The following is a 15,496-nucleotide window of genomic DNA, read 5'->3' on the forward strand; positions in this document are numbered from 1 at the left end:
GTCCTGAACATTTAGAAAACATATTCACAGGAAAAGTTAAAATTTTAGGCAAATTAAGGAGCAGCACATGAATAAGACTCTCAAACAATAACAGGATCTTTCAAACTCTCAATATGAATACATTAGAATATTCAGCCAACATAAAACAGACTTTATAAAAATGTGCTTACAACAGACAATAACCTCATTATGTTCTCCTCATAAAATCCAACACTATAATGTGAGAATAAATCATTCCTTCCATCCTTATGGTGTTATTTTTGTCTTGCCCAAACCTGGGAACTTATATGAAAGTACATTTTCTAAAGGAACATAAGAATTGATATATAAAAGCATTTCCTTTTAAAAAGCCATGCAAATAATAATTCCAACCAAATTCTCTTTCCTCTCATAAAAGGTTTTGTTTGGGATTTGTTTTTGTTTTCTTTCATAGCTTCTTCTTAAAAAGCACTACCATTAAAGGCAAGGTCGACTTTGCTTACCACAAGTTACAAATGACTGAATTGGTAACCCAATATCTGAGAAGTCATTTGCTGTTATAAATCTATTATCAGTGCTTCAGAAGAGTAAGAGGATAATGCCTTATTAGGACTTGGCCACAACAGGGTAGAGTTTCAAACTTCTTGAACTCTGTATATGCACAGGGGAAAAATGTGATGGTGTTGTAGCCTATAAATACATTGTCAGCTCTAGCAAGCAATGAGACATCTCACTCCAGAAAGTCAAAGCTGCAATGTGTCACTTTCAGACTTCTCTCACTGGTCCCAAGAAAATAGGTATAGATTTCAAATACAGTTATTTAAAGTAGATTCTGGTATACAGACACCCACGTCCTCCAAAGTTAAATTTTCCAGTTAAACTGTCTCCAGTCAATCTGACCACTTCAACCTGACAGGCAAGCCAGTCAAATAAGCAGTCAGTGGGCCAAAATCTGTCAAAATGGTTTTCTTAACTGGTAATTACTTTTTGACTGACTTGAGCAGTCAAGTTCATCAGAACAGTCAAACCAGGTTTCCAATGTATACAGTTTTAGCTCTTCCTGTTTTAGTAGGTGTGCTCTGTTTATATATTTGAAGGGAGCTTTATTAAGTCATATTGTTTAAGAGAAACAAGTCAAGAAAGTTGTGAGCAACTAGTTTGACAATAAGGGCTCCCCCCAGAGTTGGTCCTCAGATTCAGCACTGGGGAGAACAGGCTTATCGGCCCTGCCTGAGAGCTATGAAAGGCACAAGGGGAAGGGGTGGCCAGGAGAAAAGCACTGTGGAAGTACCCGCGTGCCCACCTCTTGACATGTCCTGGTTAGAGGTCTGAGACATGTGTCCTCTAACAAGGGAGAGATAAGGGAATGGGCTCACCATATTTTTGGAGATTTATAAAAAGACACTTAGAACTCAGTGGAGGGTTTGATGACATTGATGCCATTGTTGGCAGCGGTTTTCCATTCTTAAACAGCCATTTTTGTCAAGAGAAAGAGAAATTTTAAGAATCCCCTTAATTTAAAAATGAGGGTGAGGGCAATGTAATTTCTCAGCTTTCACAAATGACAACCTTGAAATGCAGTCTAATGCATGTTAAAAAGCATTGTTTGAGCAGCATTTAAGATTGCAGATTTTGGAATTAGCCCACCTAGTTTCAAACCTGGGCTCCCACTGACAAGCTATATGCCTTGGAGCCACATATTTCCTTCCTTGGATGTCAAGTAGCCTTATCTTTATAATGAATAAAATTAAACAACTCAATTCTCAGAGTTATTTTGATTACTAAGTGATTAAATGTTAGTAAAATATTTTCAACAGGGCAGGGTAAGGAACACTAGCTATGTAGAGGCATGGCCCAGTTCAAGTTCACCATAACTATGAGAGCATCTTGTTCAAATATAGTATTTTGTAATGTATTCGACTTCTTTTTTACAGGTCTCTTATGTTTAAGTTTTGCTTTAATTAATAGTTTTATCTTTAATATCTTCATAATTTATTTAAAAGCAGCACTAAAAAGCATAAAGGCTAAAGTTGCCAGGTTACCATTCTATACAGGCATTGAACTATACGTTTTACCCTCCCTTTCTCATTTAATAACCATGAAACCCCGTGAGGTAGATCAGGTTTACAAATGAAGATACTGAGTTTCAATCAAATTATATGACCTGTCTGTGATCAAACAGCTGATTATGGCAGAGCTGGTTTTAAAATTAAAATGTAACCAGCTTGCTTTAAAATCTATTAAGAGCCCGTAATATAACAAATAGCTAATTAACAATAACAAATTTCTGGTTCTTCCAGCAAAAAAAAAAAAAAGAGTGGTTTATATTGTAAGTTCATGACTTCCTAAAGAGAGACACTTGTCTATTAGGCCTCTGAAGTTATTGTAAGTAAATCAAAAGAACTAGAATGATTCAATACTTATCTATCACATCCAGAAACCAATCTTATTTCCACTTTCTGCAGTGCCACTTTGGATTTCAAAACAATAAAACAAAATATCTGAAAGATAAGACTCATGTATTCCAAAGTACTTAGAGGTATACAAGAATTCAAAGACTGATTAATTCAGCAAATAAAGATAGAATGTCTTGTTACTTGAAAATGGTCCAAGCACCAGTTAGTATCCTGAAAACTGAGAAACTATTGTGATATCAAACTGATTTCATAGTGTTTTCTTCGGTGATTTTTTGGTCATTGATAGAGATAGAACTCTTTTACAATATTGTGCAAAAAAACTAAAGACTCTGAAGGAGCATGAATGAATTGAACCTCTGGAAAGAACTTAGGCTTCCCGCTAAAACTCACCCTCAGAGGGTGTAATCTAACATACAGCATGAACATCTCAAGAGACTTGCCCTAGGTCAGTTCATCTCTCTGTGATGCCATATCCTCTAGATGGAAATAAAAACAGTGAACTCTTTTAAATGTGCCCTATGGTCTGATTAAAGATTGAAAAGGGCTCTAAAAATCCACAGCACTCCCAGGGAAAAATGCTAAATATCATTATCATTATTACACCAAATGCCATAATTTGGTCTCCTCAGATTCCCTTTTTATGTAGATTCCATCACACTCTGACTTTTGACTTTTCGCCTCTCTGACCAAATCTCCAATGACAAAGCAAAGGGAAATATTGAGGCAATTAGTGGGAAATGGAAGCAATTAATTCCCTTTTTTAGTGGAGACCTGGCCTCTGTGAACCAGTTTAACCAAAAATAATCAATGACCTTTCTCTGACCAAACTGAAGCAAATCTACTTGATATTTGTCACTGGTTATCCATCTACTGCTTCGACATTAATGAGTCCCTTCACTTTGCCCCTTTCTTTTATGAAATAGAGCCATCTTTTCTGGTCCCATGTTACCTCTACAACTACTATTTTTGCAAATCTAATACAGTCAAAGGCCTCATTATCCATGTGTAAGCCTAGAAACCATTTTTAGCAAAACCGTGATTTCTGATTTTCTTCTACCCTTCTCCCTTGAACTGTTTCCCTTTCTCTCCTATGGAGAGGCGAGGTTGTTCAAAATGAATGAAAGAGAACAACAAAGACAAAGTTTAAATTTAAAAGGGTCCTAGAAAAGACTGTATAATCCATCTGGGCCTAAACAGCATCCAGACCTAGATCTAAGTCTTTGGCCAATCATTGCTCACTGTTCAGCTTTCACCTTGGGAAATTTACCTATCCTTCACAAATCTCAGTTTTCTTTTCTGAACACTGGAGACAACATTACTTGCCCCAAGAGTCTTGTCAGACAAAAATTAGATGATACATGTAAAGCCGTTAGTACATAAGGAGAGCCCAATCAATGTTTCCTATTACCACCTGTTTCAAAGAAGAGGAGAATATTTCATAAAATATACTGTTTTGATACTCAATACAACTCTTCTAAAATGACTGCTACTCAAGCAAGAATATTCAGCATTCAGGGTCTCACTTTTATCCCCCTGTTAAGAAGAGTACTTCATGTTTTAGCTTATCCATTTATTTTATACATTATTTCCATCTCCTATCATATTCCAGAATATCTTTGCTTGCTATTTTGTTTTAGCTTATCCATTTATTTTATACATTTTTTCCATCTCCTATCATATTCCAGAATATCTTTGCTTGCTCTTTTGTTGTTGTTGTTGTTGCTGCTATGGTTTTGTTTGTTTCATCTTTAGACAAACACCCCTTAAGCAACTGTTCATCAGCTGTCATATATCTCACTAAGTGTGGTCCATTAGGCCTGAATCCAAGTGAATTTAGAGACAGCTCGGTATAACCAGTGTTTCATATAAAAACAAATGGAGATGCAAATGAATTGGCAATACATTTTGAGAAAATATGGAACACTAGAGATGTCCTGTGAAGAAAAGGCAAATTAACAGTTACTTCTCAAATTATGCAAGGAGCTGCTTTTTCCTCTATTTCATTTTGTTCTAAAAAGCTCTGTCCTAAGGCAGGCTTCCCTGAGGCTGTTTGAATAGGAGAGAATATTAAGGAAAACAAGACCAGATGTATGAGACATTGGCCCATTGTTATGTTCTGTACTCTGAAAATCTTTCAGAAATGTGGGATGAAGGGCCTCAAAGGAAAAAGGAGAGAGGTCCTTCCTTTGCACTCTGAACTAGATTTCCAATCTTAGAGCTCCTAAATCCAACCCAAGTTTGATTTCTCAGGAGCAAATTCAGAGCTGCTCTTCAGGTACAAGAGACCTAGATTTAAGCACCACCAGACACTTCAACCTTCACCCTCAGGCCCAGCCCCAGCCTTTCACTCTCCACACTAGATATTAATTCAATGTGAAATCTTCAGGAAATACACACACACAGACAGACAGACTTACTCATAGTCACATGTCAAGTTGGTAGCAAGCTAAAAATGCTGAACTTCTGACTTCCCATTTCACAGTGTGTTCTATCAAACCAAGCAACCATAAAGAAATCACTGGATCACTTGTAAATATTTGCTCAGTCCACTGGTTTGCTAATCCATGTTCAGTTTAAGAGAGAATTGCTGCAGTAAAAAATGTAGTAGTACATCACCTTCAATTTTCTCATGAAGTACATTCTACCATCTTTTCAGCCTCTCTCTTCTTGCCAAAGGTACAACTATTTTGAAGGTATTACCCATAGTCACCACATACAGTCATTTTTGCTCTCTTAAATCGGATACAGAAACACTCTATCAACAAAAATTTAAAACTAATAACTCCAGTCTTTCACCCTCTAATGTGTCTTCCAAATGGCCAGAGCTGGAGAACATAAAACTAAACATAATCAAAATATGCTAAAACATAATCAAATCAAGCTCCTTCTCTGGGTAAACCCAACAACTCTTAAAAGCATAGCTGTTCATGGTCTGCCCCCACCTTAACTCTTCAGCCCCACTTCATGTTATTTCACACAATGGTTCCACTTCTAATCAAAGACCCCTGAATATGCCATGCTTTTCACAACTCTGCACATGCTAGTCTTTCGATCCACTGGACCTTTTGGCCCAATGCCTTCGCCTGCCTAAAGAATAGCTAATTCATTTTAAAGATATGCTTCACCCATCTTCTCTTTGAACCCTTTCCAGATTGGCAGATAATTCATATATACTTTCATTGTAACATTTGTCTCTGTAATTAATTGTTGAAATGCCTGAACTGCTCACTGGCAGGTAGCATACCTTATCCATCTTAGCATCCTCAGAACCTAGTACCGCACCAGGTACACTCCTCCTCTACTTGTACACCTCCATCTTAACTAACCTTACATAGATATTAATTAAATTACTGAACGAGGTAAAATCACATATTCTCTTCCTTCTCCAGAAAATGGTGTCATCAGTCATGTCACTGGGCAGATTCATCCACTGGCTTATTCCTACTGTAAGAGTGGATATGCTCAGAGCTTTTCAAACACTATTAGAAGGGTTAATAGAGAAAAATGGTTGTTTGCAACAAAAGCAATAGATGTTTTAACATTTGAAAGCAATGACAAAGTAAAGAAGGTTGAATATGTCTACAGAAAAATCTTTAACAGTAGGTGCAATTCTGATGAAAAGAGCAGATCATCCATCACATAAAAATTGCCTTGCACATGTGAAGGACAATCATAAGCTGTAGAAGAGGAAAAGTGATTGGCTAAGTGGGGAGAAACACTAGAGAGTATTACTAAAATATCAGATGCCTCTTAGCCAAATGTTAATTAAGAAGAAGCCTAGAATTTTACCAGAATTTAAAGGCTGGGGGTGAAAATGTTGCTGACAAACTTTCTATTGCAGACCTCAGATAGTTCAGTAGGTTCAAATCCATTTGAGTCTACACAGGGTCAAAGGGAACAGAGTGTTAACATATTAGCCCCTGAGAAGTTCTCTGCAGACATTGGCAGGGATAAATACCTGTCTATAGACAGATTGTCAATAATACGGTAGGTACTGGTCTAGATTTTGGGAGCGTGAGGAAAGATGCCGCATAGAATGAGTGCTGCAAGTGGAAAACAAGATATAGCCAAATATTTGATTGAACAGATAGGAAGTCTAGGCTTGGCAGGGTGTGGTTGCTCATGCCTGTAATCCCAGCATTTTGAGAGGCTGAGGCAACCACTTGAGTCCAGGGGTTTGAGACCAGCCTGGGCAACATGGCGAGACCCCCCATCTCTACAAAAAAATACAAAAAAATAAAAAGAAATTAGCTGGATATTATGGTGCATGCCTGTAGTACCAGCTACTCTGGGGGGTTGAGGCGGGAGGCTCTTTTGAGCCCGGGAGGTCGAGGCTGCAGTGGGTCCTGATCAAGCCACTACACTGAAGCCTGGGTGACAGAGTGAGACCCTGTCTCAAAAAAATTTTTTAAATGTGCAGGCTCACATTCTTACTTGGGTGGAAATACATCTAAGGAAGCTGAGCATTGGAAACATGTTTGTGCAAGAAAGAATAAAGAAGGGAATAAAGGGAGGTATAAAAGAAGTCTCTGGCTCAGTGGCAAACTGAGAAAGCATGTTTCAAGAAGAGAGACAATTTGAAAATACTCTTCCATGGTAACTCTTAGGAATGAACATTAGGAGGCATGAGAATCCTTATTAAAACTCCACCTCTACGTCCTAGACTCTCCTTTCAATTCCTTTTTTTAGATCGATTTTCAAATTCTCACCTATTCTTTCAAACCTGAAAAGAGAAAAGAGAAACAGAAACCTAACGGGTCTTTAAGATCATTAGGCTCAACTTCCCTCTATTTCCTGAGAGCAACTGAAAAACTGGGAACAAGGGCTTTCTCGCCTTGACCAATTCATTCTTAAACCTGGTCACCTGAGGAGATTCTACATCTCTATCTTACTATTTCACTTTTTCAATTATACGAATTCTCCCAATTCTCCTAACATTTAACATAAACTACCTCTAATATTCTCCTGTTCTTCTTTATTTATTGGTGTGTAAATGGCCAAGACTTTTTATGCTCCAATAAATACAATTTAATGGAATCACAAAACCATCTATCATCAGCTAAGCTCTCATAGGCAAAGTATTGTCCACCAAATTTTTATAAATCTCCAAACACCCACAACACAATTCTACAGATTTCTCTAATTAGCTGGCATTCACAATTCTATATAATAAGGAATATTTGCGTAAATTAGTTTCTTGCTGTTTTTCTTTTCCTACAAGACTACTGTTAACCTCTCTCTTCGTAGGTTATGACTTTGGGGATGATTGTCATTCCTACTGCTCTATGCCTCCCAGACTCTTCTTAGTAAACACCCCCAGTAAAATCTGTGCAGGAACCATGCTTTGCACTATGCATGTGTTTTATTTTGTTGACAAATAGTTCAAAATAGCAACCTATTTGTAAACACCACCTTTCTGGATCTGCTATCACTCCATATCATAATCCAGTATTTTTTACTGTAAGAGCTTTCATCTCCATGAAGAATCTGGAATGTCTAATTGACATCTGATAGCTTTATTTGTAAAACGATTTATAAAAGATTAAGTGATTGCTTTTCCACTATTATGGAAAATATCAACAGCCATAATGATTCCATTTGAGTTATATTTCACTAGTTTATCTAAAACCATTGTGTAAGAATATTTTGTTTCTTTCAGTTTCTTCTTTCCTTATTTCTCCTTTCTGACTATTCAAACCACTGTTTTCAAAACTATTTTTACTTCCACTATATAAGTTAGTAGTATTTCTGAAAATTTCACTATGCTACAAATTTGTACCTTATTTAAATGTCTTGTAATTATTTTGGGCTATCTAGAACTTACAACAAACCTTATGCCGCAGTCGTTAAAATTAAACTGACTTTTAAGAAACATTTTTCAGCTTGTTTCATTTTTGACATGAGCTCCAAGTTTCAGTTCAACAAAATGTACTACATTGAACTATTCTACTGTTTTGGAATAAAATTGAAAACTTAAAAAAAAAGTAATAATAACCCAAACCAAGGAAATAGACATGAAAATTATATGTATTCCATTTGTTTTAGAGCTAAAAAAAAAAGTTTAAAAAAACTTCTTAAAAGGAGATCTTAAAGTTTAGCCTACTTAAAGTAGCTTCCATCCAAAAGTAAAATATTTAACATAAATTTAAAAGATACTTGCAAGTGCACTGCTACACTCAGATTCATCTAAAATAGAAGTGAAGCAGAATTGTCCGAATAATGCTGATAATAAACTGCGTACCATTTCACTTTGCTGTGCTGACACACTTTCTGAATACGAAAGAATCATGAAGGTTATTTTACACTCTTATAGTTAAATGAAGTTTCTTATAAACTATCCAAAATGAATTTGAAATTACCTCAGGTTTCTCCTTCCCTTAAAATGCATATTCCCAGTGAAATATTCTAAGACAATATTGAAAGTATGGAGTTATAACTTATATAAATATATATGAAATTATATCTATTGTAATTTATATAAGCAAATGTATATATACAGCATATATATATGTATGTACATGTGTATAAATATCTTCATATGTATCTTAATCTTAAAGTTTCTACTACAACTCTTTTGATTATTACAATTGAAAACTATTACTTTAAAAAAGTAATTGCTGGGAGGCCAAGGCAGGCAGATCATGAGGTCAGGAGTTCAAGACAAGCCTGGCCAACATGGTGAAACTGCGTCTCTACTAAAGATACAAAAAAAAAAAATTAGCCAGGTGTGGTGGCGCATGCCTGTAATCCCAGCTACTTGGAAGGCTGAGGCAGGAGAATCACTTCAACCCGGGAGGCAGACGTTGCAGTGAGCAGAGATCACGCCATTGCACTCCAGCCTGGGTGACAGGGTGAGACTCCATCTCAAAAAAAGGTTGTTGCATTGGGATACTTGACATCTTCTACACAAGCTATTTAGATCCACATCTACATAAAAATAGGAATTAATTTTTAGTCCTGGAATAAGAATATATGCTAATATACTATCTGGTACTATTTTGCTATAAATAGAGCTCATATTTTCTTACCTTTAAAGCCAATAAAATAGATATTGCTCAAATGTAAACAAAAATTAATATTTACTCATAAAATAACATATATAAGAGGCAACAAAATGTTAAATCATGTTCCAATTTAGTAAATATCTGAAAATATTAAACTTGAAAAATAAATAACTTTGGTTACCATGAACTAAAACAGTGATTTCCACATCTTGGTTGAAATAAGACATTAATAGAGTTTCAGACATATTTTCCCCAAATAATAGCAAATCACAACTTGACTACTCAGATATCCTGATACCTAGTTATCATAAAAGATGAAATTATAATTATAAGCAAGCCACACATATCAAAATAAAACAAGTATTGATTAGTTTGTCTTCCTAGTTTGTTTAAAGTACAGAAAATTAACCTGCCGGTTTAGTTACCTACCAGCAATGAGTGGATTTTATCAGTGTTGTCATCTCTACAAACAGCACCAAATTATAATCCCTCTTCCCATAACATATGCACCATGCCAGAAGGGACAACCAAAGTAAACGATCTAGCCGTGAGTAATGAATACTTTGGGCTGGTTGGAATCCAGTTAGTTGAGGAAAGAGAAAAGAGAAGTGGCTCATTAGGGCATTTCCTGAACCCTGGTTGGAATTTCAGTTAAGGAAGAAGAAATGACACAGCAGTTTCAAGTTAAGACGACTTCCTTTCTTTATCTGAAATATGCCACTAATTTGAGAAAGAGCACTCCTAGAAAACTACTCCACAATACTGTGGCCACAGTAAAAGCTCTTGTTGGTCCCATTGTGGCTCCATAATTAACAATTCTTACCAGAATATACACAAGCAGTACATGGTTGTTATCATAATGGACTGAGATCCTACATTTATTGCAACATGTTATGTTTCACAATGAACATTTCTTCAACAAATTGACCTGCATCATTTTTTTTTCAATTTTAGGAATTGCACATTTCTTTAGAGCATTAATAGATTTTGAGTTTTTAAGGCCATTGCATTTTCCATATTTTCTATAATTACATTTTTCTTACATATGATTTTACTCCTAAAGTGACCCCAGGATAATTTTTATCTTGTCCAAGAATATTTTATCTTCCCATGTAGATTAAAAATACACAGTTCAGCTTATGAGATTTCTTTGTCTTATAATTATTATTTACATCCCAATTTCATTTGTATTTTTAAGGGACATGAATATAGGATACTCATGCCTTTACCAATGTGATAAAAGAGGTCTCATTTCATGTGTTAGGTATCTCAGGAACTTAAAATGGAAAGGTACAACTTTGTTCCCACCCTGTAATTCACACTGTGAAAATCTGAATTCATTCTTGTAACAGTTACATGACTTTCTTGTCTTACCTATATTTTAAAAAATATATGCAAAGCAAGGCATTTATGCAAGCTACTGAAGTTTAATGTGAAGGTTACATTCAGATTTCTCTTGCCTTTGTGATCTAAAAATTGTGCAATTAAATTGACATTTGTGTTTGTCAAGAAGTGGAGATTATATGAAAATATTTCAGCACTATATCTTCTGTAAGAACTTCAAAGCTATTAAGTAAAAAAATTGTTCTGTCACTATCAATAGCACATTTTTGAGTCACCTTACCTTTTCTGGTTGTTTTATCATACATCTAAATCTCCTAAGGTGAATGGAAATAGTAAATAATTAAGTGTAAAATCAATTTATTTAGGTTAGTATTAGAAATAAACAACATTGATATTAGAAACATTGTGAGAAAAGAAAATATTTGGGATTTTAACTCATTAGAAAATACTTTAGATTGAATTAGAGTTTAATACATTTGTATGATACAACATGTTTAACATATTTAATGTATTTGTATGAAATACATTTGCGAGCTTCAGAAGGTAAATTTTAAAGCTGTATTACTATGTGGGCTTCAAAAGTTGGAAACATGCACATAGATACATATTCACACCTGAAAGAATAAGCATCTATTTGTTAATATCAGTTATTTCTTAATGGTGGCATAATCGGGTAGTTACTTTTTTTACATTTTTATCTATTGCTTCTATATTTTATATAAAGTGTGGCAATTCCTCTATCTAAAACCAGAAATACCATTCAACCTGGCAATCCCATTACTAGGTATATGCCCAAAGGAATATAAATCAATCTATTATAAAGACACATGCACACGTATGTTCACTGCAGCACTATTCACGGAGGAAAGACATGGAATCAACCTAAATGCCCATCAATGGTAGACTGGATAAAGAAAATGTGGTACATATACATCACAGAATACTATACAGTCATAAAAAAGAATGAGATCATGTCCTTTGCAGGAACATGGATGGAGCTGGAGGCCATTATCCTTAGGAAATTAATGCAGGAACAGAAAACCAAATATTGCATCTTCTCTCTTATAAGTGGGAGCTAAATGATGAGAACACAAGGACACATAGAGGGGAACAACACACACTGGGGCCTATCAGAGGGTGGAAGGCTGGAGGAGTGAGAGGATCAGGAAAAATAATTAATGGGCACTAGGCTTAATATCTGGGTGACAAAATAATCTGTACAGCAAACCCCCATGACACAAGTTTACCTATGTAACAAACCTGCACATGTATCACTGAACTTAAAATAATAGTTAAAAATTTTTAAAAATCATGCATGTCGTTTCTAATAAAATATAGTTTTCATTTCAAAAATAGTTTATAAACCAAACTTTTAGTATAGTATACTACTTGCCACAAAATAATTTTACCACAAATTATCTGCTCCCTTATGACAAGAATGAGGGAGATCTTATAAATAACTGATATAATTTAAATCTTACCTTCTGTCTTTACCTGATTGATGTTTACAGACTCCCTGCAAGATGCATTTCAGTTAATTAATCACGTGACAAAGAAAAGGGCAAGACATCTTCTCATGATTCATCAAAAAAAAAAAAAATCTTTGTTTCTGAGGATGTATCCTCACTCCTCGCATTTAAATGGTCAAGTTCTGGCCATTCTATGCCTGAAATTCTTCTCACAAAGAAGAAATGTGTCAAAGTGCTTGGCTGCAGGAATTTGGTTAAGAGTCAGACTGATTTGGTCTCAACTCCCAGCTCTACCTCTTTCTAGCTATGGCACCTTGGTTAAAATACTTCACTTCTCTTTGCCTCAGTCTCCTCAACTGTAAAACAGAGAAACTAATAGTACCTAGAGCAGGGCTAGTATGAGGATTAAATAAATAATAGAAGTAAATTGTTTAAATAATGCCAGGCATGTAATAAATGCCATGTGAGTTTTACCCATTTTCTTCCTTTTTTCAGTTGCCTCTGTCAATTTCTTTATTCCTGCCATTCTCCATCCTCCATGTCTATCCACTCCCTGTACCAGTACCCAAATACTCCCATTTGTTATCATAGATGAATTATATGTCATCTTATGCAGAGAATAGCTCTCTCCATTTATACCAGATCCCATCCCTCCCACTACCCAAGACCACCACCTAGCAATGCCCTCCTCTCACCTGTAATCTACAGTGCCAAACATTGACTCAACCAGATCATTCCTTTTAGAATACAAGCAAGTGTTCTTTCTCCCACCTAAAGGAAAACAAATAATCTTCTCTGAACCCTACTTCTCCCACCAGATGTTACTCCATTTCTTTGTGCCCTTTTTGAAAAACTCAAAAGAGCTATCAATACTCACTGTCTTCAATTCCTCTTTTCCCATTCTTTCTTAAGCTCCTTCCAGTAAGGCTTTGTGCTCCACCAGAGCACCATAACTGACCTTGTCAGGACTAGCAATGACCTCTGTCTTGCCAATCAAATGGTCAGTTCTCACTTCCAACTTACTTTCCCTATCAGCAGTGAATGCGTGATCATTCTCTTTGCCTTTAATGCCCTTTTTATGGGTTTTCAGGACACTACAGACTCAAATTTTCACCTATATCACTGAGTATTTCTTCTCAGTCTCCTTTGCTGTTTCCTCTCTTCTCTATAGTGAAATGTCCTAAGTCTCAGCCTGTTCTTTCCCCTACCCTAGCTATATTCATTACCTTGGCTATATCATGTACTTTCATGACTTTATATCATCTATATGCTAATGACTCTCATGGTCATACTTCCAGGCCTGATATCTCTCTTGAATTCCATACTCATATATCCAACAACCTACTCTATGTTTGCATTTTCCTGTGTTACAGACAACCAAAATCTTCTCTTCCAACCATGCACCACTTGCAGCCTTCCCCAACTAGATTAACACCATCTTCATCCCTCCAGCTCACTCCTCTCTTTCTCTATACCCTTCAACGTGTCCATCAGTAACTCCTGTGAGCTCACCTTCAAACCCACCTGGAATTTATCTGCCTCATCCAACTTCCATTGCTATTATCTGAGTCAAAGCTAACCTCATCTCTCACCTGGATTGCCGCAAAGACCTTACACCTGCTCTCCCTCCTTCTATCTGTTACACACACACTAACACGCACAGGCATGCATACACACACACACACACACACACACACAGCAACCAGAGTGGTTCTCTTAAAACTCAAAGCTGATCATGTAGCTTTTCTATTCAAAACTTTGTCAAAGCATTCCTCATACTCAGAGGAAGAACTTAAGTCATTCCAATTCCTTAAAATGGTGTCTAAGGTCCTAGGCCTACACACCTCCTTTAACTCTTTGTGGAATATCAACTTCTGAATGAAGTTTTTCCTGACTTGTCTGAAATTCCACCATTCTCTTGTCTCCCCCATCTTCCCCCACTGAAACTGTTTATTCTCCTTACCCTACTCTGCTTGTCCTTTTTTCCATAGACCCCATGACCTACCAGGTTTTCTGTTTAATTTCAATCATTCATTGGAAAGACAGCTTCACGAAGACCAGGATCCCCATCTCCTTGCTGATGGACATATCCTAAGCACTAATCACTAAATGATTAAATGTGTGATTTTTCTAAATTTTATTCCCTTTATTTATAATCATAAAAAAATTCCCTACTGCCTAAATTTTGACTCCAAATTCTCTAGGATCACTCATAAATGTCTTCTCAACTAAATCTGAGTCTGAATCTCAAGCTTTACCATAATACATTCTCACTTTCTTTAGGTTACAATGTCCCCCTGCAGGACGCTCCTCTCTTCAAAGTCCAGATCATACGTGACCTCCTGTCTGTACTTTCCTTGAAAGATACAGAATTAAGGGCTCTTGTGTGTATGTGTATGAACTGAGGACACTTTACACATATTTCTTTTATAAGCATTAATGTTAACATTTTTATTCTCTTCAAATGTTGCAAAGTCAATATAATATCCACCAAAATTATAGTTTTATTCCATTGGGTACATTTGTTAATATTTACCAAGAAGAATAAATGAAAAAGCATAGCCAAAATATTTTGAAAATTAAAAAAGTAAAGAAGGATTTGAAAAATGAAATATTAAACACACGATAAGACTATGCTAATTAAAACAGCTTACTACTAATATATAATAGACAGAAAGTGAAAACCTTCTGCATTTTTAGAAATTTAGCACATTGTTGAAGGTTGTATTTCACATCAGAATGAAATAAATATATTTCTTAATAAACACTTTTAGGACAAATATCTAATAATTTGTTGAGAGAGAGAGAGAAAGAGAATGGAAAAGAGAAAGATCCGTACCTCTGATTACCAAGAATTTAATTTCAAATACCTTAAAGATTTAAACATAAAAATTTTTAAATGTGGCTCAGAAAAATATGTGACTACTTTGTAATCCACACAGTGGAGAAAAAAAATCACTAAATACAAATTTTGGCCACATAAATATTAAATCTCTAAGAAAATAATTATTTTTAAATTTCACAAAACCAAAACTGGGAAAATATTTTTCCATATGTTAAAAACATATAATATATAGATAATTGTTATACTGTATTGTCGATTATTTTGCCTCATTTGTCTTCTATCCTGAAAATGTGCTTATTTTGGAATTGGACCATAACATTTTCTTCTTTGTGTTATAGTTCTGTCTTAGTTTTATCACACTGAAAATTGTGTAAAATGCATGCCTCAGATGTTTCCCAGGCAGAGAGGAAAAGAGCTAGGGTATTTACACTCTCCAGT

The 15,496-nt window shown here is 35.6% G+C and overlaps 1 protein-coding gene across 17 annotated transcripts in view; it reads right to left on the reverse strand.

Annotated features, from left to right (window-relative positions):
• TFEC (transcription factor EC) overlaps positions 1–15,496 on the reverse strand; it is a 224,745-nt gene that overhangs the window by 85,652 nt on the left and 123,597 nt on the right. For 3 of the 17 annotated variants that reach the window (NM_001018058.3, NM_012252.4, XM_047420055.1), the window contains exon 1: positions 9,830–9,960. The exons of 13 other annotated variants lie outside the window; for them this stretch is intronic. The gene's annotated coding sequence lies outside the window, so the exon portion shown is untranslated. Of the gene's footprint in view, positions 1–4,813; positions 4,984–9,829; positions 9,961–15,496 lie in introns of those variants that run through there. One more of the 17 variants, XM_017011875.2, reaches the window with a different exon arrangement.

The sequence above is a fragment of the Homo sapiens genome, chromosome 7 (genome assembly GCF_000001405.40).
Source record: "Homo sapiens chromosome 7, GRCh38.p14 Primary Assembly".
Lineage (NCBI taxonomy): Eukaryota > Metazoa > Chordata > Mammalia > Primates > Hominidae > Homo > Homo sapiens.